General features: G+C 33.7%; 1 long non-coding RNA gene across 1 annotated transcript; it reads left to right on the top strand.

The window, feature by feature from the left end:
* Positions 1-1,419: 1,419 nt before the first annotated feature.
* Positions 1,420-15,446, top strand: LINC00317 (long intergenic non-protein coding RNA 317). The gene is made up of 3 exons (NR_038872.1): positions 1,420-1,487; positions 11,646-11,707; positions 14,965-15,446. It is a non-coding gene; the product is annotated as a long intergenic non-protein coding RNA 317 (long non-coding RNA).
* The last annotated feature ends 11,621 nt before the right edge of the window (positions 15,447-27,067 follow it).

Below are 27,067 nucleotides of genomic sequence, written 5' to 3'. Positions count from 1 at the left end.
TCTTTCCTCTCTCCCAGTCCAAACCCTAGTGACTACTGATCCTTTTAGTGTCTTTATGTTTTTGACTTTTCCAGGATGTCACGTGGTTGGAATCATATAGTGTGGAGCCTTTTCAGGTTATCTTCCTTAACTTTGTTATGTGCTCTTAAGATTACTCTATGTCTTTTCATGGCTTTATAGCTCATTTCCTTTTAGTGCTGAAGAATATTCCATTGTTAGGATGCACCACAGTTTGTTTATTCATATGCCTACTGAAGGACATCTTGGTTGCTTCAACCAAGTAGTGGGGATTATGAACAAAGCTATAATTATCAGCATGTAGGCTTTTGTGCAGACAAAAGCTTTCAGCTCCTCTAGGTACAGACCAAATAGCATGATTGCTGGCTTGTATGTTAACAGTATGCTTAGTTTTATAAGAAACTGTCAGATTGTCTCCCAAAGTGACAATTATTTTGCATTCTCACCAGCAATAAATGAGTTCTCTCTCTCTCTCTCTTTCTAGGTGCACAGAGGAAAGGCCATGTGGGGACACGGTGAGAAGGTAAATGTCTGAAAGCCAAGAAGAGAGTCCTCATGAGACATCAACCCTGTTGAAACCTTGATCTTCAACTTCTGGCCTAAAGAAATGTGAGAAAACAATTTCTGTTTTTAAGCTATCCAGTCCATGGTATTTTGTTATGGCAGCCCTATCAGACTAACACAGGTGGTTAGATTACTGTTCTTTATACATACGTTTTATCAATCAGATCATTAGGTTTTGAGTTCTCTTGGCTGTGTTTTAATAATGTCTCCTATAAATAGATTGTAACATTATTAATACATAAGTATATTTAAAAAGGGGAAAAGATTAGTGAAATCAATGCCCTTAGTAGAGTTATATTAAAATTTCATCACAACAATGAGAGTGTAGAAATTAGACACAAACTTGAAGTTGGGAAATTTAATATAAGGATAATCTATGTTCCAATTTTCTAAATGATGGCAATATAAACAATAGAGAAAATTAATGGAAACCTAAGTAATAAAAATACTATTGTGTAAATATATTCTTTAAATTATTATATTGTTTCTGGAATTTATAATTTTTAGGGACTGTGTGTATGTGTCCCTCCTCCATCCCCAAAGTTCATGTGCGAAAGTCCTAAAATGCAGTGTGGCTGCATTTTGAGTAAGAAAGTAATTGATGTTAAATACGGTCAAAATAAGTTGTTAAATATGGCTTGGCTCCGTGTCTCCACCCAAATCTCACCTTGCATTGTAATAATTCCCACATGCCTAAGGAGGGACCTTGTGGGAGGTAACTGAATCATGATCCTGGGTTTTTGCCATGCTGTTCTCATGATAGTGAATAAGTCTCACCGGATCTAGTGGTTTTATAAAGTGGAGCTCCCCTGCAAATGCCCTCTTGCCTGCCGCCATGTAAGATGTCCCTTATTCGTCTGTCATCTTCCGCCATGATTGTGAGGCTTCCCTAGCCATGTGGAACTGTGAGTCCATTAAACCACTTCACTGTATAAATTACCCAGTCTCGGGTATGTCTTTATTAGCAGCATGAGAACGGCCTAATACAGGTGGGCTTTTGAGACAATGGAATTAGTGTCCTTATAAGATGAAACAGCACAGAGATTGGTGTTTTTTGGTTTGTTTGTTTGTTTGTTTGTCTTTTTCCCTCCATGTAAAGACACAGGGGAATACTACAATCTGCAAGCCAGAAGGAAAGCCCCCATCAAAAATCAAGTTGTTTGGCACTTTAATCTTAGACTTTCCATTCTCCGGGACTTTGAGAAAATAATCTGATGTTTAAAGCACACAGTGTGGCAGTCTGTGGTATTTTATTAGGGCATCTAGGGGCAGATTAAGACAACATTTATTATTTCAAATGACTGCACTAAAAATGGTAAAGTTTTAAAATATCTGGGCAATAGGATGAGAGACCACGTGTAGACATGAGAATCATGAAGAATAAAGTCAGAGAATAAGTTATGAGGATATTGTCTGTTTGTGAGGGAGTGTGGCTTTCAAATACATTCCCCATTTGTTATTCACCTCTTAGAGGAATAGAGAGGGAGATTGATTGTCATCATTATTGTTGTTTTTGTTTAGTTGTTTTTTTTTTAAATCTAAGATAGACACAGTTCTTTGTGTGTGTGTGTTCATTATGAGACATCGTTTTTAGCTGATATTAAACAGATCAGAATTTTTAAAAATTCATGTAATACTATAAGAATTGCACGTTTTCAGAAACAAAATAGCATAAAAGTAGTATCAAAGAATGTCATTTGGGGGGCACATTAAGGAAATCTCATGCCGGCGTTCTCAGTGGTATTTTTTTCCATTCTTAATATTACCTCATACTCTATGGACTTAGTTGAGAGAAACTAGTGTTAGCTTTAGGAGAACTAACAAGATATCTTACTTTTCTTTAATAACCTACTAACTTTTGGGTTCAAAGATAAATTTTATTAATGCAGGATTTTATAAATATGCATTAATTTATGTTTACATAAAATTATACAATGAACTGAAAACTTTGGAAAACACAAATTCACCATAATGTCATTTCCTTGATTAATTTCTTTAGTTACTTTCAGTTAAAGAGGTTTAAATGAAAAAACTTAACAAACCACGTTAAGTTTCCTTGAAAAAAGGCACTGAAAGGTTAAAATAAATGAGAAATGAAAATGTGCTAACAGAATAAATAATGATTTTACTTCCTCCAAAATACAAATTTGTTGATAGTGATTTCTTTTGTATTCCAAGCCATAATTTTATCTTCTGTGTTTACTAAGGAATAATTTATTTTCTGAAGAGTAAGACTTTCTGTCATAAAATGATATCTGATTCAATATTGCAAAGACATTCTTCATAATTTTCTGCTGAAATGGGAGAGAAATGCTTTTCATTATCAAATTATTATTGGAAACATTGGGCTTACCAGTATTATAACTACAGTCAGAGTGTTTGACTACAATTATTTAAAAAACGTAACCTCCCGTACAATACAGCATTCTAGTTTAATTCTTAATTATTTAGCAATATTAGATAATTTTACGGTTTTCTGCTATGAATGTTAGCTTCTCTGGACCTGTTTTCCTTATCTATATATTAAAAAGAAAATTTGCTTCAATATGGCAGAAAAAAACTTAGGCAATAAGTTAGTTTTCTGCTCCAAATACATAAAAGTACTTTATAAAAAGAACAAATTTTAATTCATTACAAGATTTTTAATACATAGCAATAAAGTATAATTTTCCCCAGCAGTAATAAAGCACATATATATTTATATGTATTCAGTACATGAGAAGTAGATGTGCAAATATAAAAACATAATTAAAAGTAATTTTCTTAAGAATAGAATGCATAATATGTACTTAAAAAGATATCTCAAAATTTGAAAAATGCATTTTGGCGGGAAGAATTATATGGAGACTTCACAGTTTATCACAAATTTATTAGAGTTATATAAAGTGTGAAATATTATTTTTATAGCCCAAGTAAAATATCTTAGTGAAAAATAATTTTAAATAACATGCTAGGTTACCCTTATGAACTAAGTAAGACCATCTGAATTTCACATTAGCTTTATAACCTATGCAAATTAACGACCATTTTGCAAATGTCAATTTTAATGTGAAAACCTTTTATATTTAAAACCACGACAAACTAATTGTTACTCAGAAACGAACCATATTTGTAACAAATTCCATTTTGAAATGTGCATCTGATAGAAACTCTGCAGTTGAATTTTACTAAAGATTTTGAATTCTTACATTATTTGAGCCTCTGAATTTTAATAAGCTTTTACAGACACATTTTTGCTGTTTGAGTAGTACTCTCCATCAATGTTAATGAATATTTTTACAACATAACTTGTAAAGAACTGTTCCAACCATTAAATTAGATGAGACTTTTAGCATCATCTTGAAAAAAGAGATGCATCAGCTATTTTCAAGCACTTTTAAATACGTGATACATAACTTCTAGACTACAAAATAAAGTTGGCAGAACTCATATAAAAATGCTTTTGGTATTCTTATACAAACTTTTCAAAGACCAATGTCAATAGAGAGGGCAAAAGGTTAGATGAAAAAGGAAGAAACTTGAAAAATCTGGGAATAAATAAGCCATAGCTGGTAAACATGTTTAAAGCCAAGATGTGTTTAAAGATATTAGACATAACCCTCACATCTGTTTGAGAACCAAAAATATATATTTTTTAAAGTGTCAATGTCTTTAATTGATGAATAATCCTACTCATTTATGGTACATTGTGATATTTTACATATATGTATACATTGTATAATGATCAAATCAGGGTAATTAGGATATCTATCACCTCAAACACTTGTTTCTTTGTGGTGAGAACATTCAGAATCCTCTCTTTTAGCTCTTTTGAAATATACAATATATGATTGTTAACTATAGTCACCCTATTGTGCAATAGAACACTAGAACTTACTCCTCCTATCCAACAGTACCTTTGTACTAAGAGAACAATCTCTCGCCTTACTCTCTCCAGAATCTGATAACCACTATTCTACTCCTTACTTCTACAAGATCAATTTTTAAAAATTCTACATATGAGTGAGATCATACAGCATTTGTCCTTTTGTTCCCTGCTTATCCCACTTAATGTTCTCTAAGTTCATTCATGTTTTGCCATCGTGTATATACATCACATTTTTAAATCTAATCATCCATTGATGGATGCTTGGGTTGATTTCACATTTTGGCTATTATGAGCAGTGCTGCAATAAATAAGACAGTGTCTTAAAAAATGTTATAACATCAATACAATTATCTTGAGACAAATGCAGGTGAAGATAGATTTTTAAATGTATGCTAATATTTATCTTTGATAATGTTTTTCATTGTCTTTTCTTCCCAAGGACTTAAGGAATATTAGGAAGATTTTAAACATTACTAAATTTGAGAATGCTTTCTTGCTGAAAAGGATGGGCTTTGAAAAATACCTTAAATTTATGTAGCAGAAGGAAAAAAATCATAATAGTTCCAGTAGTATAAGAAAAAGTCATCTTTTTCTGTATTTCCTATAAGAATAGGTAAAGAAAAAGAAATTCCAGATGAATGTTTTCACTGCTTACAATGTTAATAAAAATGCTCTATTTGAAAAGTAAAAATAATTGGAGTAACTCAACGTTTACCAAAATAAACTGGTAGAAAGTGTTCATAGAATAAGTATTTTATCACACCCATATTTTATGAATCTACCTTCCAAATATTTAAATTTAATAGCAAAGTAGCCCAGAACATAAAATATTAAACATGTATAATAGCTTCTTTTCCTCAATAAATCTAATGTCAAGTGAGTTATACTTTTGTGGAAGCGACTGAAGTTTCTCTGTTTCAGAGGCTTTAGAATAATATATTTTTAAAATGATAGAAAGCAAGTATCTCCAGTATTATAAAATTATGGCAACACAAAATACATTGTGAATCATTCTCTGGACATCATTAAAAAAATATACTAACATGTCTGTATGTGTTTTATGTTTCTCATTCTGCCAGAAACACATCCTTTAACAAACTACCACATTTTGAACGAGTTTCAATTGAGCATAGCCTATGTATTTTATGTATATTTCATTATTCAACTGGTGATCAGATGCAAATTAAAGATAGTCAATATCTTTTTTTCAACTCAGCCAATATTCAAACACAGGTCAGATAAAAATCAAAGAGCTTAAGCTTTTCTATACAGATAGTCTCATTATAGACTTGTCAAACTAAATCTCAGTCTTTTCACAGTATTTCTATTCGAAGAAGTTCTAAATTGCTTTCTAATTCTTTAGGCAGCCTGCATTCACCAGATGTCAAGACCGTGCATAACATTGAGCATGAACTTAAGGCTTAACCTACAATGTACATTTGTATTCTTTAATTAAGCTAGTGCTAGGTTAAAGTGACTATACATTTGCAGCAACTGAGATAAAATATCTTATAAAATACAAGGGCTTAATCACTTACGTGTGATTACAAAATCCAAAACCCTCTAAAAAATTGAATGTTTTTATTCCTCGATGGGCAGTAAAATTTGACCTGCTCTGTATTCCCTTAGCGAATAAATAGATTTGAGATTATTTATAGTTTTTCTTACCCACTTAGTGTGAATATTCATAGGATTTGCTGTGAACATAAAGCTGTGCTTGATTGCAGACTTCACTAGAATTTGTATGTAATACACAGTAGATACGCATATTGCTTCTGAAAGTATTTCCAAATTTCTACATTCTAAAATACATCTGGGTTCATGGGCTTCAGAAAGACATATATATATATGTATATGTGTGTGTGTGTGTATGAATTTAGGGACAGTATTCTTAAGTAAGTAAATAAAAGGAGTCTGAAGTTTTTCATATAGCTCCCCTTTCTGAGCAATTTGTTGCAAGACCAGAGCTACGAAGAACCATTCTGACCTTAGACCTATATCTAGTACTGTCCCCCCTGAAAGTCACATCTACCTGGATGTCATTTTGCTCACTATTTCGCTTTTTGGAAAGTCTCATTTTTCATATTTGAAACCTGGGATGCCACTAGGGTCTTTGCCTTTGTAGTGACAGAAATGAGTTCTTATGCTATAATTTTGCTGAAAGAAACTATTTTCTTGCCTCCGTACTCCCCATAAGATGTAGCAACCTAATCTGACTGCCCTGAAGTGAGCTTGGTTTACTGGACAGACCACCAGATGGGTTGACCTTCTTTCACCGTTGTGCCTTTAGAATGTCTTGTCAGTAAATAAGGTGATGTAAGTCATGTCAATCCTTGGCTTAAAACCTTGAGGTAGTTCTCAGTTCTATCCAGGTAAAACACAAATCCCTTCCGATGACCCAAAGGCTTCCGGGTTACCCACTCCTTCTTCAACCTTGTCTTCCATGACTCACTCTTTCAGCTCCAGCTACATTGGCTTCCGTGTGTCTGTTCCTCTGGCACACTTCGAAGACTTTGCACTGCCTTTTTCCTGTACTGAGTTGTTGTTCCCCCGAATGTCCACTTACTCAACTTTTTATCTCCTTTAATTCTTCACTGAAATGATACCTCTTAGATGAAATTCATGGACTACATTTTTCAAATTTCAGTAGTCCCCAAACTCATTCCCTGCATGCCAATCCCCCTTAATCTGTTGCCTTTCTTTTTCCATGGTACATAAAACCATTTGGCACACACTATAATTCATGTATTTAATAGTTGCAATGATAATGTTATTTTGTCTGTATGCCATGTTAACAAATCAGTTGTTGTCACACAGTAGGCATTCACTAAATATTTGTTGTATGAATGAATGAATTTTTAAAATAATGGTATTGATATTGACTTAATCCAACTATGAGTTTAGAAAGTGCTGGATTGTTGGAAAATACATTGGATGAAGAATTAGGAGATGTGGAGTCCCCTTTGCTATTTTTCTGGTAAATCCCTACAGTGACTTTGAACAAGTTACTTAACATGGGCTTTAGTAATACAATGTTACAACAACAACAACAAATATAGAAAGGATTAGACTAATTCATTTCTAATTTTTCTCCCTTCTTATTTTCCATCTTCTTACTCAATTACTATTCCATAGTTTCCCATAAAAAGACAAAAAAGTGCCTAACAACCAACTTACAAATATTTGCAATGCATGGTAAATGGTAGGAGTTGAATAAATATCTGTTGGATAAACAAATGTATGGATGAAAGAAAAATTTAAGTGTATTATTTTAAATATTCAGATGATAAACTTATTAGGGTACTTTGGAAAATAATTCTGGGATGAAAACAAAAATTAGAGGTACAGCCAACTCTCGCATAGTATGCACACAGAAGAGGACAACAACATTATAAAAGTCATCGATGGGTCACATTCTACTAAGTGGATAGAGAAATAATTTTTGTGGGAGTGTAGAAAGAACACTTATGGAAGTGTGCCATGCCTGTGAAATTCTTTCTTAGTCGTGTTAGTCTTAAAAATGCATCCACAGTTGGAAATAGTGACCTTTGGGAAATAAAGGATGACCTAAGCTTTCTCAATCTTGCTCTGATGAGAGTAAGATATTAGTCCAAGAAGGAATGCTGCCAACAATTAGTCCATGTGCTGTATTTCTAAAAACGCTGCAATCCTTATCTCCAAAAAAGATGATGACATTGTAGTATATAAATGTGTACTTTCACTACAAAGCTAAAAAATAAATTCTACCTGCCAACGATTATACCCTCGAAAAGTTAGATGAAGTTTATTTCAATGATATTGATATATACTTTTCAAAACTAATTGAATGTTTTAAAGTATTATTATCAGTAATAACTTGACTCAGAATTAGTGGTTTATTGCTAAAATTAGTGTTTATGTTATAGGTAAAAAATCGCTAGAGATAAATACATTTAAATGTATTAAATCCAAACATATAAGAGCAATATGTTGCATTGAGAATGACTGGAAATAACATTTCAAGCTTTTTATTTCTCAAATAAGTAAAATATTACATCTGAGTTTTGTCCAAAAGATCAGGGTAAACCAGGAAGGAGGAGAATCTATAGTACACAAGAATGAAAAAACCAGATGAAGGGACTCCTGTGGATTTTTCAAATCAGGACAAAAGAGGAAAAAATCTAAAGTAACCTGAGGCTGTGAAAACGCAATGGAAATTTGAAGTGAAATTTAAGAAAATGAAAGTTTGTAACATGATTCGAAGTGCTTACAATATCAAAGGGCCAGAAAGTAGTAGAAGATGGAACAAGTGAGGGCAAAGTGTCTGTGTTTTAGAGATTCCAAAAGGGCAGTAAGGCAAGCTATTCAGAAATAGGCATGAACAACCTAAGGATATAATAAAAGTTAAGCTGGTGGCCGGAAGTGTGTCTGTCATATGCTGTTGTATGTGGTCATCTGAAGGACCCATGGAGAGCTGTCAACCGCATAATGTGATAGAAACGAGCCTCAGTAAGACATCTTCCTTAAGATAATAATTATGTTTGAGAGAAAATGTATTTGAAGTGAGAAAACCTGGATCTAGACTTAAGTATGTCTCAAATAAAAATATATCATTAAACAAATATTCTAAGAATTCAATCCCGTTTTCTAATCTAAAAAATTAACTAGCATCATAAAAATCCACACTATTGAGGCTACAATAACATTAAAAACGAAAATTTACATTTTAATCGACATTTACTTAAAATTACATTAAATTAATTAAATATTATTGTAGCCCTCAATAGTGTGAATAAGCAGTATTTACAACTATGAGCGTATCATTCCCCTGAACCTCAGCGTCATTGTGTTCTGAAACATATTAGCTATAAGTAGAAATGTTTTATTTGAATTATTTCCACCTATGTTAATAATCACTTAAATAATAATTAATTTACAACACGATTTTCTCACACTGCCATGATTCCCAGAATTTCTGCTAAAAAATAGTCCATCCTAGCCTGGCGCAGTGGCTCACGCCTGTAATCCCAGCATTTTGGGAGGCCGAGGCGGTGGATCACGAGGTCAGGAGATGGAGACCATCCTGGCTAACACGGTGAAACCCCGTCTCTACTAAAAAATACAAAAAATTAGCTGGGCCTGGTGGCAGGCGCTTGTAGTCCCAGCTATTCGGGAGGTTGAGGCAGGAGAATGGCATGAACCCAGGAGGCAGAGCTTGCAGTGAGCCGAGATCACACTTCAGCCTGGGCGATGGAGCGAGACTCTGTCTCAAACAAAACAAAACAAAACAAAACAAAACACAACAAAACAAAAATTTTATATATATATATATATAGTCCATCCTCTTTTCCTTCTTAGGCTTTTGAAAACAGATTGTCTTTTACCTATGTTCCTTCTACACTTTGAGCAGTGCCAGACACCTGATTAAAACTCAGTCAAGTATGTGTTAAACAAAATTTTGACTACCCTTCAGATGTCCCATAATATCAAAATCAAAATAGCTGCTGCTGCAAAATATCCAGGCACTACCTTTGTATCTTGAAAGCAGCAAAACTTGAACCAGTCTGCATGAATATTTTTACGATATTTCTTAGTTTGTGTTCCTAGGAGCAATGTTTGGAATAATGACTTGAGTGCAAGTATGTGTTGGGAAGGATCCTAACGCCTCACTGGAGGGCAGGAAGACAGAGAGGAAAGGAGAAAATGTGTAATAAGGAGGAAAGGAAGAATAGTTTGTTTGGTAAAGATGTAGTCAAGAAAACAGAAACCAGATGAGGTATTTTCACAGAAGTAAGTTAGTGTAATTTGTTATATGGGTGCTGGAAAGCTAACAAAGCAAAAGAGAATCATTCAGGTAACAAAGAAAGATGTCAGGCTAGAGGAGCAACAGGAGGAAGTTGGGGTTCTGGAAACCTAGAAAATTGGAGAAGGGATCCCATGAAATGGGGCTAAGACCTTCAGGACAGGATGTTACCAGGCTCTTGCGGGCACCCCTCGCGGGAGAATGCATGAGACTAGCCTTGGGTGAGCTGAAAGAAGCTACTGCCGGTTTTTACGTTAATTTCTGGGGAGAAGCTGTTGGGAACAGCTTACAAATGAAACAGATTCAGTCCTTTCTCTACCTTCCTGCCTTCCAATCTCCTTGTGGGTCTTCTTATTAACAGAATCTATTGAAAGGTGAGTAAAACAAAAAGAGATGTGTCTTGCTGAGATGCAGTCCCAGCATCACTAAACAAAGCACAGAAATACCAAGTATAATAGCTTCAAGTTCAGCAGCCTCTTTCAGCGGTTCAATCATTGAACCATTAAACTCCATTATAGAGGTTAAAAGTTTTTTTCTTTTCAAAATAAAGAATTATTATAGCCACAGGAGACACTAAGCTATGCAATGTATTTTTGGAAGTATTTTATTTGTTCGTATAGGCTATGTATGAACTAACATACAGTTTATATCCCTTTACAACTATAAAGGAAAGACATTAGAAATAGGCAAAATGTGTACTTTATTATTTTTTTCTTTTCTAACTTTTAAAAAATTTAAGTTTATGATTCATGTGTTTCATGACTGTTCATCTTGAATAATGTAATATGTTTTAATAGAGCCCAGATTCACCAGTTCTGGCGTGCACATCCTGAGGATGGATTTCTAATACTAATTCTCTGAATCTTGATTCATAACGTTGTGTAAATAAATAATAAGAGAAAGGTTAAAGTGATATTTTTAGTTTTAAAAGTATATAATCTCTTAGGTAATCTTTATTTTGTCAATGTTCAAGTGAACATTTTTCCAATCATATAAAACTGTGGTTTGATCAGTTTACTTTTTTTGGCTTCAAGAACAATGATTTATGGAATCAGGGAATTTTTGGAGAATATTTTTCCTACATCAATGATTTGCAAACCTAAAGAATTTTCAGAAATTATAACTTAAGGGTGACGGGTGGGAGGAGGCTGAGGACCAAAAAACTACCAGTCAGGTACCATGCTTATTAACTGTACACCAAAACCCTTGCCACAGGTCATTTACCCATATAGCAAACCTGCATATGTAAGCCTGAAACAAAATGTTTATTTTTTAAAAAAAGTTTTCATGTAAAAGACATGCTGACTTTTGTGTTGATACGCAATCTTTCTTCAGTTTTATATTTCTTAATGTTGAAAAATAACAGACTAAAATATTATAAAAACAGATAATAAAACTGTTTCCAATATTTAGGCAAGAATTCTATCACTGAACTACCAATGCCTTTGGAAGTATCCAATATTTTGGTTGTTTTGGTGAGTAACATTTCTGTGATCATTGATTGACAGGTGGCTTATGAAACAGTTTATATTTTTATGTATATAATCTATTAAGGTAATTTTTCTGTTGATTTGAAAGTTGATTCAGTTTTAACTATCACTAACATCTGAACAATCGTTTGTAAGGCTTTTAATAAAAAAACTCACCCAGCTGCATTTTATCAGTTACTTTTTAAAAATTTAATAGAAGAAAATTATTAAATAATTCAATTTTCAGAAAGGTGTATTTCCCAAGCTTCAAAAATAACACAGAAAGTATTATTATAACACGGCAGTTATTTTTCTTTAATGCATACTTAAATATCTTTTAAGTAAGGCCAAATAATTTTGAATCCTTAGGTGAAATTTAGAGTACATGATGTTTTTTCAACAAGTATTATGAAATATTCTATGGAGAAAATGAGGAATGCATGAAACTAGGTTGTGCTTTCTCTTCCTAAGATAAAAGAAGCTGTGAATAATTATGCCAGATTGGGTGGGAGTGTGTGAAGAACTAAAAACGGGGATCATCTCGTATATTAATGTTCTAATACGATAGAAATATGAGTTACTCAAAATCTGAAAAAAATCTGTGAAATTCAAGCAGATTAAATACTACATTTTAATGCCATTGAAAAAAATTTTCAACCTCTGTAAGAAAACACTTGTAAAAAAGGTAATACGGCTATTACAGTAGTCCCCCATTATCTTTGGTGGATGCATTCCAAGACCTCCAGGAGATGCCTGTTACCTCAGATAGTCCTGAACCCTATATAAACTGTATTATATTTTTTTCTATACTAACATACTTATGATAAAATTTAATTCATAAATTAGGCACATGAAGAGATTAACTGTAAGAACTAATAATAAAATAGAACAATTATAACAACATTCTGTAATAAAAGAGATCATGAATATGATCTCTCTCTCTCTCAACATATCTTACTGTACTATACTCACTCTTCTTCTTGTGATGGAGGAGAACCAAATAGATGGTGTGAGATTTCATCCCACTACTCAGAACCACATGAAATTTAAAACTATGAATTGCTTATTTCCAGAATTTTCCATTTAATACTTTTGGACTTGATTGCAGGTAACTAAATCTGCAGAAAATGAAACTGCAAATAAGGAGGGACTACTGTACATAAGAGATCCCTGCAGAAACTTTATGGGATATTGAAAGCATATTAGTGCAATACTAATTTGCAACAAAACAACTAGAAATAAATGTGATGGGAATGCATACCAATGATTGAATAATCTTAAAATGCTGTTTATAAAAAGTAATGATGTAATAAAAGGTACATACTTCAGGGAAGAATCCTCTCTGACATTTCTTAATGCTGTAGATAAGTAGAATGTTAATGCAAAAGTGTATGCCTGGGAGCGGTGGCTCACACCTGTAATCCCAGCACTTTGAGAGGCCGAGGCAGACGGATCACGAGGTCAAGAGATCGGGACCATCCCGGCCAACATGGTGAAACCCTGTCTCCACTAAAAATACAAAAATTAGCTGGGAGCGGTGGCAGGTGCCTGTAATCCTAGCTACTGGGGAGGCTGAGGCAACAGAATTGCTTGAACCTGGGAGGCGGAGGTTGCAGTGAGCCGAGATTGTACCACTGCACTCCAGCCCGCGCAACAGACGGAGACTCTGTCTCAAAAAAAAAAAAAAAAAAAAAAAAAAGAAGTATGTTTGTATGTCCTGTAGGGTGTGAAGCAGACAGAGGACACTGCAGTCTATGAACAGAGAATGGTATGAATGGAATAAAATTGATAATATAAAAACATACTGTGAGAGAACAATATATTCTATCTAATTCACTCTTAAATTTTCTACTCTCTGGTTTTAAAATACAGTTTCCTCCATAATATTTCCTAATATATATTCAAATTGTTTTCTGTTTTTGAGAATTACCTGTTACATTAATGAACTAATTCCAGGAATTACAAATATGTTTTACAAGCAATAAATTCCTAACCACATTAAATCCAGCTCAAAAAAAAAAAGTTCTAGGTAGAATGATATACTCACTGAACAATTTTCTTACATTTCAATGAGATGTAGTGTACAGGAAGTATATTTCATGAAATAGTGTCATTAAAAACTCACTACATCTTCTTAATAACATTTTGGTTCACTTAATTAGGCACATTCATTGTGTGCCATATTATAGATGCTCAAAAATAAGATATCTAAAATAAAAATCTGCCAGCCAATTTTCTTACAGTGTAAAAAATACATAAATTAGAGATGTTACTGTTATTTATTCATCAAATCTGATAGGATATTTTTCGCATAACAGTAGATAATCAAGAATGCTAGGGGACAGAGGAGGAACAGCATAATAAGCAGGAGAAAAATAAGAGAAAGAGAAGGAGGAGGAGGAGAAGGGGGAAGAAAGAGACAAACTTCCATATTGTTGCACCCATTTTTCTTGCAAATTTTGAAAATTATTTTTCCTTCCTACACTCTAAGCTTTAGAGTTAAACTTTAGAGGAACATTGCTTTACTAAATGTTATTAAACTTTATATTTGCATGATTTCCTCTTATTTTATCTGATCATATAAGAAGTATTTCGATTTTCTCATAACACCCTTAACCAAAAATATCACCTTTAGATTTTTACTCTTTGAGAAAAATCAGTTGAGAATAGTGAATATTCACAATGTGAGCCAAAGATGGGATATGCATGTGCATTAGGAGAAGTAGAAGAATAATAAAACTCATGATTTCAATATTCATAGCAAATTTCTCCAGCAATTTATGAAATGGGCATTGATATTTTTTGTTCTCTTTCAGCCCTCCATCAATGTTCATGGGTAAATAAGAACCCCGTAATATTTTTGTGAAATGTTTTCTACTCAGTCTAACCTATTCCAGCAAAATTTGTCCAAAAGAATTACTTTCATGGGGTTTTGGGGCAACATTTAATTTTGAAATAATGTTATATTATTATATATGACATACGGTTTTTGATTGTTTCATGTATTATTTTAACAGTAGATTTAAGCACTCTTTCCATACATACATACAGAATACCTATAATATGCAAAGCTCTGTAACAAGTGTAATGGGTGAAACATTTAAAAATGCATCTATAGTATGCATTTTTAAAATATAAAAATGCACATATAGTTCATTATATAAATATTTTGCACAAATGAAGCTTTATCCTATAACCTGTTTTTCTTTTTCATAAAGCTTTATTATTTATTTACTTATTTATTTTGCTTGCCCCTACTTCAGCTACCTATGGGATCATGCATATCAGTACTTGGAAATAAATGATGAAAGCAGCAGCTCAGCCACCTGTCCTCAATGATGGGAGGGCATTCACCTCTACAGGAAAGAAGACAGATGGTCAACCTGATCTATGCTGCTTGTAAGCATGGTAATGGCACACTTCCTGTCAAACAAGTTGGTGACATTGACTAGGCATGGCTTCTGGGAAAATGTCATGTAAGCTTTGTTACCATCTGAGCAAAATGGAGATGTTCCTTGACTGAAATATTTAGCATGTGTGTGTGTGTGTGTGTTTAATTTATGTGGCCACAGTTATTACATGGAAGACACATATTTTAATTTTGGCCATAAAATATACTCAACATCATAAGGAAGCACCTGGAGAGCTGTGTTCCTTTTCCTGAGGCTTCCCTGTTCCTTGTGATAACTTACATACTTGGAATTATAGAGACTTAATTTTGGTTAAAATCTCTAATTTGTGTGAATTCAATGCCTTGGGTGATTACATCAACTTTGTATTGGTCAGGGTTCTCCACAGAAACAGAACCAATAAGATGTACATATACAAAGACAGACAAGGCCCACAAAGAGAAGTTGGCAAACTGGAGACCCAGAAGAGCCCGTGGCGTAGTTAATGTTCCAGTGCTGGCAGGCTCAAGACCCAGAAAAAGCCAGAATTTCAGTTCAAGTCTAAAGGCAGGAAAGAACCAAGATCCCAGCTCAAGGCAGTCTGTGCAGTTCCTTTCTGCTGATGGGATGGTCAGCATTTTTGTTCCATTGAGGCCGTCAACAGACTAGATGAGGTCCAACCACATTAGGGAGGGCAAGCTGTTTTTCTCAGCCTATCAATTCAAATGCTATTTTCATCCAGAAACATCCTCACAGAAATACTCACAATAAATTTTGGCCAAATGTCTGGGAACCCTGTGACTCAGTCAAGCTGACATGCAAAATTAACCATCGCACATAGTAAGCATCCTTCCTTTTAAAAAAATTTTTAAAATGATACACAACTTTTGATATACCTTACTTTTTTAACTTAAAAATGACTTAGAGGGGCCGGGCGCGGTGGCTCACGCCTGTAATCCCAGCCCCTTGGGAGACCGAGGCGGGCAGATCACGAGGTCAGGAGATCGGGACCATCCTGGCTAACACGGTGAAACCCCGTCTCTACTAAAAATATAAAAACAAAATTAACCAGGGCAAGGTGACGGCCACCTGTAGTCCCAGTTATTTAGGAGGCTGAGTCAGGAGAATGGCGTGAATCCGGGAGGCGGAGCTTGCAGTGAGCCGAGATCGCGCCACTGCACTCCAGCCTGGGCGACAGAGGGAGACTCCATCTCAAACAAAACAAAACAAAACAAAACAAAACAAAACAAAACAAAACAAAACAAAAAAACGACTTAGAGAACTCTTCTAGTTAAACTGGAATAATGGAAATTAATATTTTTAATGGCTGTGTAATTTTTATGGCATGTATTTTCCTGGTGTATACACCATGCTTTGTCTATTTTTTAAAACTGATGACAAGATCTCTGTTTCTAATTTTTGCTACTTAAAAAAATGCTGAAATTAACATCCTTGTACATATACCTTTACATGACTTCACTTTTATTTCTTTTGTATAGATTCTTAGGTGTCAATGCTGCATCTAAAGATGAAAGTATTTTTTATTTTAATAATAGTCCCCAGAAAAAAAACCAAAAATGTGTGTAGACACTCTCATACTTTACATTACAAAATAATGGACTCTCATACATTAATTATGTTATAAGTTCTATGAAGAATGAACACATGTTCTAATAGTTTGTGAAACACGAAGATTGCCAGTCACTCTTTGTTCCTTTGCTACTGCAGAACCAATGTATTCTGATTTGTGCTTCAGTGTTTTACAGAGTTATCAGTAAAACAGCTTTCTTTTTTTGTTGTTGTTCTTATATTCTTAAGCCCTAGCTATCTTTTAATGATTTCTATGAAATCATCACCTAGTATCAAATGATTCATATGAGACATACACGCTCCTACAATCATCATCATTTTGAACTCTGAATCTTCATCCTTTCTTAAAGCATGTGGGCTTCAATTCTCTCTTTCCTTAGCTTACTTATTTCCCAGAAAGTAATTTTTAGAACGTGACTCTCATTAGCATTCTGCAATTTTTTCAATCCTGTATAAGAGATTATAGACCTAGAAAAGTGGAGCCTTTTATAAAATGGTACTGAGTAGTTGAGAAGGAAGAGGTTTCTGGAAATGCTATGAAAGTTGCCATTGTGAAGTCATTGTTGTAATGTTAAAAGAGTAATGAGATGAAAGACTAGCAGAGCTAAAGGAGAGACAGAGAAATTTGATGTCAATTATAATGAAATAGAGAAGATATTATATTAGAGTGGTAGCAAGAGAAAATGGGTTTGAAGCTTAGAAAATCATAAGAATTTTTGTAGTTAAAAGGGTTCCATGGAGAAAGATTTGAGAAGCATGGCAGAATAAGGAAATAATGGAACAAAATCCCTAGAGATAGAATAGATTGAACAGAGGATACAAATGGCGGAATTGGCTCTGGTGAAATGATAGTCAACGTCTCACTCAAAGATAGAACAGAATAAAGAGAAGGTGGATGAACATAAAGGGAAGTTTCATGCATAAAGAAAGTTCTGAAAGTACATAGTAAAAATAAGTTTTACATTTTTTCAATTAATTAGGAACCCAGGTCAGCTTTTGAAAGTAACAGGGTGAAATAAGGAAGCCAAGTAACTGATCTCCCCAATAGAAAGAAGACTTAGCCTTTTCCACTGGGCCCAGAGAACCAGATTGTGTTGCTTCATGTATCTGGCCTGGATACACGAGTGGGGAAGGACATGTTCTTGGCTGTTGTGTGTGGTGTCAAAGGAACAATAAGATAAATGACTTTATAGAAAAGTTAAGATTTAAACCCAGGGATACATTCCAATAGGGCAATCACTCTATAAAGGTGACATAAAGAGAAATTGGGAAGGGTGGAAGATAATAAAATATAATCTTGAGAAACCAAAATAAATATGGTGGGTAGAACATAAAGTTTATAGAAATTCTGTAAGCTCTGTGACAAAATTCACAACTGTTATATGTATGTGTGCATGTGTGTACTTATGTAAGTTTAAATAGACAAGCTGTTGTCTTATGCAATGTGTTGAGGAAGCTATTCAGAAGACAAACTTAGCCAGGTGCTGTAGTTACACTTGTAATCCCAGTACTTTGGGAAGCCAAGGCAGGCAGATCACTTGAGCTCAGGAGTTTGAGCCCAGCCTGGGCAACATGGCAAAACCCCATCTCTACAAAAATGCAAAAATTTGCTGGTTTTGGTGGTGCCTGTGTTCCCAGCTACTCTGGAGGCTAAGATGGGAGGACCATTTGAGCTCAGCAGGTTGAGGCTGTAGTGAGGTACGATCATGCCACTGCACTCTAGCCCCGGTTACCAAGCAAAACATTGTCGAAAAAAGAGAGGAAGGAAGGGAGGAAGGAAGGAAGGAAGGAAGGAAGGAAGGAAGGAAGGAAGGAAAGAAAAGACAAACTCAACTCTTATTTGGGAGCTTAATAAAAGTGGAAAAGGACATATTAGATTATGTATTAAGTAAAATAATTTAAATGAGTAAAAGTTAACAATGAGAAATTACCTAATTCTGAGTGACAGGAATTTTAAGTAGACAATCATCTATATTTACAATTTTCCTTTGCAACGTTAGCAGTGATGCGGTGGTAAGTGAAGAAAGGCTCATCCAAACATAGCAAGTTTTATGTTTGATCTCATTAAAGGTCAGAGGAAAATCAAGAGTGCTCTGGATAGGACAACTGACATGGTTCAATGTAGACAGGATAACAAAAAAAAAAATTAAGACTAAAAGTAGAATGAAAAACTAATACATGGAAAATTTCTGAAGAATACATGAGCAGATGAAGGAAAATATCAGATGCACTAAACATGATCAGATGATAAAGGGGAAGGATGAGATAGAATAAATAGACACAAAAACGTTAAAGTTTTCAGTTTGCAAGTGATGCCGTTCTGTGTCATTAAGAGTGGAAGTCCGAGATCAAGGTGTCATCAGGGTTATTTTTTCCTGAAGCCTCTCTCCTTGTCCTGCCTTCTCGCTGTGTTCTCACATGACCTCTCTGTGAACAAGCATCTGTAGTGGTTCTGCCTCTTCTTAAAAAAATCACAGGTCATATTGGATTAGGGCTCACTCAGATTACCTCTTCTAACATTACATACCTCATTAAGGTCCTATCTCCAATTACAGTCACCTTCTGAGGGGGGCTAGGGGTTAGGACTTCAACATCTGAATTTGGGCACGGGCATAATTTAGTCAATAGTAATCGTGTCGTAGCCTTGCCTGTGGGTGTAAGAAGGACAATAGAGAGAAAAAGGATCAAGAAAATGGAAGAAATAAACATAAAGATAGTAACTAACCAAAGGTGAAGAGAGGCAAGCGAAGTAATTACTCTGTGAATGTAAATTTGAATCATATAATTTTGGAATACATGAGGTAGCTAATTGATTAAAGCTATGTTAACAATTTATTTGGGCTCTTTCTTCTGTCAGACATTAGAATAACTGCTTTATTTCCATTTACCATGTCATATTCCTAACAATTTCGTGAAGTTGGTGCTATTGCTAAGCCTCTTGTACAGATAAAAATATCTAAGACTCAGAAAAAAAGGCTCAGCAAATTGTCCACCATCACAAAGTAATACAAACTGAGATTTAGACCCAGAATGTTTCAATTGTAGAGCCTTTACTTTTAGACTTAACTATCAGACACAAAAACTATATTAACTTATCAAGTTTGTCTTTCTTCACTTAAAGACTTAATATTATGGATTTTACAAGCTATTTGAATTTGAATAATATGTCTGACTAATACTCTTTAAAAAATCATTTGTAACAAACACATTACAGCCTATGCTTTTCTATCTGATGCATAACTAGCTGAAAAAAAGCTTAAATATGGATTAGGTTGGTTATGTTTTATGTTGCCTATGTCTTTATTCTCTTTCCAAGTCAGTTCTTTCCCAGCTGATTTTTATGATCTCTATATTTTTTGTTCTGTATTATTAGAAAAGTTAACAGAGAGTTCAAACAGTTCACCATAGAACTGATTCTTAAAGTCTTTTCTCACAAAAATGTGACATGAGGGCTAGCCATAGCACAAATTTAGATATAAATAAAAACTAAATAACATTATATGTGTACCTATATATATAAATATGTGTGTATATATGTGTGTGTATACATATATGTGTATATTAAAAATTTTTTCTAATATTTTAACTATGTGTGATACATACTATGGTATACTATACTCACTATACACTATAACTATTTATGTATATATAATACTGTACTGTATATTATAGCATACTATACTATATACTATATGTGTGTATATACAGTATAGTATATGATACTATATAGTATATAGATAATTTGTATAGTATGTGTGTATACGTATTATAGTGTAGTATACATATAGTATAATGTACTATACTATATATTATAGTATATAGTATATAACCCCATTAATGATGGGAGTAAATGGTATATAGTATACTGTACACTATAGTATACCATAGTAGTGTATACTTCATCACTTCACGTTACTGAAAAGTTGGTGGAAATTAATTACTGATGAAAAATGATAATTTTTTTTAACTTGATAAAAACTCCTTATACTCATTTGGTGAATACTAGGTAACCAATGCCTCTGTAAACTGAGAAAGAAAGGGAAGGACTCTAGCATTTGTTGTAACATTTTTATACAACTGCAACTAAATAATTGATGAAATATACACTATTATGATGTATAGCATATAATATCTATATAGAGTATAGTATATATAATATAGTATATAGTATGAATACAGAGTATAGTATATAGTAGGAGTATAGAGTATAGTATATAGTATATAATATAATGAATCATATATAGTCTACAGTATATACTGTAAAGTATATACCATATATAGATAGTATATACAATACAGAGTATGTACTATACAGAGTATGATAAAGGGGTAGGATGAGATAGAATAAAAAGACACAAAAATGTTAAAGTTTCCTGTTTGGAAACGGTGCAGTTCTGTGTGATTAGATAGCATATACTTTATAGAATAATATATACTATGTAGAGTATAATATATACTATGAGTATATAGTATATATTCTCATATACTATGAGTATATAGTATAGTATATATATTATGTATATACAGTATACAGAATTTAGTATATATATTATGTATATAGATTATATCAACTATATTATATACTATGCATAGCATAGTCTAGTATATACACTATATATAGAGTACATAGAATATAGTATATACTGTATACTATGCATAGCATAGAGAGTATAGTATATGCACTATGTATATAGAGTATATAGTATATACTATGAGTATACAGTATATATACTTTACATATAATAAAGTATAGTATATACTATATACTATACTCTATAGTGTATGTGTGTATATAAAGTATAGCGTAATATACTATATAAGTATACTATACTATATATACACGTATAGTTAAAATAATATTAGTAAAAAGTCTTTAATGTCTTTACACTGTTTGAAAACCTTTAGGATTTTCAAAACCATATAGAAACTCATAGTACTTGCGGTATAATCTGATATATGCCTTAAATTTTATAGACATTTATTATGATTATATTCCCAAAGAAAGTAGCTGTAAGTTATGTAAAACAGAAAAACAGGTACATAAAGTAATATTTTGCAACATTGTCTGCTTCATTTTCTAAATTTCCATTTCACATAACTTCTCAATTTTCTCAGTTTCTCAAAATTCTCAATATTCTAGTTCTTAATGTGATTTTTATCCTAGTTATTGATTTTCTACAGGTCCTGTGTCTATATTCATTCACACATAATTACATGAATATCCCATAATAGAGAATAGAAAATGTATGGTTCACACAATATTGATCTAAATTTACTAATTAATGATAATGCAAATACAGAATTAAACGTTATCTTTTTTTATTCTTTACATGTTAATGATTTACATGTGCAGTACCTTAGAGATATGGTGTTACAAAAAAAGCAAATATTTTAGAGTGTTTATATATCACCACTGCTTCTTGAATATAAGTAATAATGAGCCAAATGTTAGCATCTTCTGCCAACTGGGGTCCCATAAACCTTCTTATACTTCTAACATCATTGAACAAAGAGCTTAATTTATTGAGAATTCTGAATCCTAATCAGGATTCTAGATTTTTGCTTTTTCTGATATTTCTGAATAGCTGGCCAACGGAGCTTCTGGTTTTTTCCTTCTTATTTACTAAATTTTATAAAAGAACATATAATTACAGTTTATTTCAGAGCACAAAATGTACCAAATTTTATTTTTGATTTCTATTTCCACCTGCTAGAATTGCAGTGAAGCATTAAATCAAAGAGTTGATTGAGGTCTGAGCAATTTAGCATGCCACAGTTGTTTAATTATACAAGAAAAAGATAATTTAATACACTTTTGAGGTTTTTCCCCATTATAAACATAATTATAGAATTTTTTAAAGACTCATGAATTTATTTCCATAGCTAAATTTTAAACAATTCATGAAAAAATGATCAGGTTATTGATGCATTTTTAATTTTTATTTCCAATTAAAGCCTTAAGACACTTAATTTTATCTTTTCTCGTCCTTTATTTGGCCAAATATTTTTGTTAAAAAGTGACCATTTTACATTTTTAAGGAAATGAAATTTTATTAGTATTTATTAACTTGACTATGTTGAGTCCACTGTCCAATGTTTTCATGAATGAAATATATATATATTTTAATTCACCCAGTACATTCCTAGTACAAGCTTAGCCTAAACTATGATGCGGAGCTCTCCAATGCACTAGGTGGGATGAACCACAAAAATTCTGCTAAGAGACTGAGGAAATTCCTGGGAGCGAAATCATCTTAAAGGATAAGGAAACCAGACACAATGAACCTGACCTAACTGAGCCCTTTACATTGGACGAAAAGGTCATCAATTCTGCCTGCTGAGTCTTCTCTAGGCCTTGGGGAAAATTCAACTAAATTCAGAAAGAGATATCTTTCTAAAAACCATTGTAAGATATTGAGTCAGAAACAGCAATACTTCAGTGTATTTTAAGCCACAATAAACGGTCTATTCTGTCAAAGGCAGCTTGTGATATCTAATATGATAAAGACTAAAGAGTAGGCTTTAGATTTAGAAACCGGATACTTTATTTTTGACCCTGACACAAGCTCCTTTAGAATATATGGAGAAAGTGAATGGTGACAACTCTTTCAAAAATTTCTGTGGTAAAACACAGGAAACAAGTAAGATTATGTCCTCATGGATATTGAATGCGTACATTGAAGACCAAGAAGCTTCCGCTGTATTTTGGTGCATGTCAGCCTGTTTGTTTTAATGATGGGAGAAAATTGAGCCATGTTTTGTGAACATATAATTAAATAGTAGAAATTTGGAAGTCAAGGATCTTGGAGAAAAACAGTTAAGCAACATGATAAGGTGCAGAAAGGAATATAGGGATGACCTTTATAGAAGATACGGAGAGGTGAGTCTTTACTAGAAGCAGATCTTCCTCCATTAATGATGGGAGAGAAAAAGAAAGAGGTGAGTACAGATGCCGAAAGCCTTATAGAATTGGCAGTGGAAATTTGAGTTGGCATCCGCCTGATGACTTCAATATTCACTGTAAAGTAAGAAGTGACAGCATTTATAAGGGTAATGGTGTATAGGTGAGGAGGAAAGTAGGGATGACATTGAGAAATTTGAAATACTAGAGAATGGATAGTAGGTGAATTTTTCAAAGAGAGATGAGACAGTATTTCCCATCTCACATGCTCTTCAGCACTGTGGCTTTACCACTTTCCAATTAAGAACTGAAGTCGATTTTTCAGCCTTCCTGAATCTCACTAGTTACAGTGACTGCTTTTGCCAATAAAACACAGGCAAATTGACGCTGCCAATCCCACATATATCCTATAATGGGAAATTCAGCTTTGATTCTCCTTCTTGGAAGACAGGACCATATTAGAAGTGTGGTTGTCCTGAGTCCATCATGTTATGAGAAGCCAAAGCTATGACAAGTGATCCCAGAGATCAGATGCCATACATAGAGAGCTAAAGAAAGGAGCAACAAAATACCGAATGTGTGAGTAAGAAAGCCACATTGGAGCCAACTCATGTGGCTGCAATTAAGCAATTCAATTAAGAATTCAGATGACTCTATCCCCAGACACTATCCATATGCAAGGAAAAGATATAACTACTCAGCTGAACAAAGGCAATCCATAGAACTATGAGACATATATATGATAAATTATTGATTAAACCACTAAGTTTTGTGAATAGTTTGCTATGCAACTATAAATAATTAGAATAACATTGAATATGTTATTTTGCAGGGTGCTAGAGCAGGTTAACAAGAGGAATACCGTAAGATAAATAAAACACGTTGAATGTCTAAAAAGGTGTTTATTTTGGTAAACTCTCCATTTATAAAGCCATCCAGCTATAGTCATTAGCTAAGTATGGGCCCTGAGCACGAAGAAAATTAGTTGGGTTTAATCTAACGTTAAGGTTTAGCCAAGGCAAGTACAATAAAATGAAAATCAGTCGAGAGAGCAGAAGATTATAACAAATAATTATTTCAGTTGTTATTTTAACCTAAATTGAGTATCTCATTGGCTTTTATTATTTTATATCATCTTTACTCAAACTGTGTTCTGGAGTGCTCTGAGTCACCATCCTCATCATCCTCATTACCCCCAAACTTGCTCTTGCATTGAATGTAATCACAGTTTCTCTCCATCAAAATAGTGGGTGGAAATCACTACACTGTTCCTTTGGGTTGCTGTATGTCATTTTTAATCTTTCTCAAATGATTGGCATTAATTATAGATCATCATTCTTGAGAGGATATGTGTTTTTCAACGGGCTGATTTGGCACTGAAGTTTCTCTTTGTTCCTCTTCAAGTGGATGCTTATAATATAAAACCTGGGAAATTGTATTGGATCTTGAAATAGCAGGCAGGCTGTACTTTACAACAGTTTCCCTCTAAGTAAAGTTATTTCTGTGATGTTGTTTCTTTTCTCTCTTCTTTTTTTAAATAAGAAACGAGAGCTGTATTTTGTTTTTTAGGATTACACTTGAAGGTTTTATCAGAGATTAGAAAAATTATTTAGAACAGGAAATGAACTTCCTCTAGATTTATTTTTTTAAAGGCATCTTGAGTTTGTGAAATTGTTGGTCTTAAGCGAGAAACTTTATGATGTTAAATCACACTTACATTTTCACCACTCTCCTGAACTGTGAGTCACAGTTACAATTGCCAAGAAAAAAAAGAGTGCTTTAAATTTTAATAACTGATTTGCTGTGTTTTCTGTTTTGCTGGCTGCCAGAAAAGAACTGCTAGTCCTTTTCCATGCCAATGAAAACTGAAATAGAATGAGATGCATTTACACTGATGGTGCCAAAGGGGAAGGATGTGAGAAGCTGATATAAATGAACTTGAAATGTTCTTTCTAGTTTTATTTCTTCTTTGAAAAGAGATTTTCCTAAGAAAATGCAAGAATCTCGGAAGAGTAATTTATTTTGAATTCCTTTGTAAATGAATTAAAAATTGAATTGGCTTCAAATATATTCCCTGTGTTCTTCAGTAATGCGTAGAAATAATTACTTGATGGAAAATTTTTAACATAGCCATGCAAAGAAGTATGCAGAACAATAGGCTACTCCTTGGACAATGAAAATGCAACCCCACCTTCTCTATTTGGTCATGCAGCCTACACACGATTATCTAGTTCAATCATTCTGTGTAGTAGGGCAGTCATGTCCAAGAAAGAATGAAATAGAAGGAAGGCAATTTATTTTCTGAGGTAGCTTAGCCAGTAGAGTTTATCCCCCTCTGTTTTATAACACAGTCCCTATAGATATTCAAGTTTACTATTATTTACATGAGAATTAGATAAGTTCACATTTACATTCTTTTTTCTTTTACAAAGCTCTAGCCAGTTTTCTGGAATTGTGTGATTTTTTTTTTTTAAATAAGTCAAGGACCCCTATCCATCATTACTGCGTGATTTTAATATTTCTCTTGATTCTCTAACCTGTGAAGACTTACATCCACAGATGGAAAACAAGAGGTCCATACTATGTTGTGGTAAACCCAGAGACGCCTGACATTTGATTCCTTTCTGTGTTAATAAATCAGCTTTGTAAGCTTTTAGACAAGTAGATGGGCATACATTCTGATGTTGATGATTTTCATTTTCAAAGTGAACACCACACAAGGCAGTGTTTATCCATTAAGACTTTGGATCATTGTCTGTTGTGTATACCTGAGCTTTGACATGAATAGTACACTCTTATCTCATAGGTTTGGGAAATTGCTCAAGTAGAAAATTTCAGACCCCGGCTGTTGAATACCAGTCTCGACTGACACTTGCAATTATCCTCCATCCCATAATCCAGACACAGAGCAGGGCTGACTGAGGCTGTCACTGTGAATCCCCAAAGAACTTTCCTCTTTCTGCTTAAAATAACTCCCCAATCACCTGCGTCAAAACAGCTGCTTGAAGATTCTGCTTGCTCCCTTCCATTCTTCACACAAGATTATCTCCACATTGTTCTGTGGGCGCAGTTCTTATACTGGCAGAATTGCTACATGCCAGGACTTTTTATCAGAGACCTTTGCCTCCTGATGAAGTGTCACATTCAGAAGTAAAGCTTCTGACATTTTGGAAAAAGTCAAGGTCTTAAAGTCTAAACATTGGTTACACAGTAGCATTGAAGACCTCAGTTTTGTATGGATTTGGATGTCACATTTGACAAAGCATTCTGTCTCTCGTAGTCACATATTTCTAAAAAATCAGAGTAGATACTATTATCCCAATGCTTTGCAGCTAGTCAGAACTTGGGCCCACAGGGTCAGGGAACATACGTAGAGCAGATAAATAGAGTTCGGATTCAGATTCAGTCAAGAGCACGTCCACTGTGACTTTTGTGCACAGATAAGTAGAGGGGGAGAAAGAGTGACGGAAAGTAGAATGAACTGTA

The sequence above is a fragment of the Homo sapiens genome, chromosome 21 (genome assembly GCF_000001405.40).
Source record: "Homo sapiens chromosome 21, GRCh38.p14 Primary Assembly".
NCBI classification, from domain to species: domain Eukaryota; kingdom Metazoa; phylum Chordata; class Mammalia; order Primates; family Hominidae; genus Homo; species Homo sapiens.
Note: the sequence above shows the minus strand (reverse complement) of the source record. Positions and strands in the feature narration are given on the sequence as shown.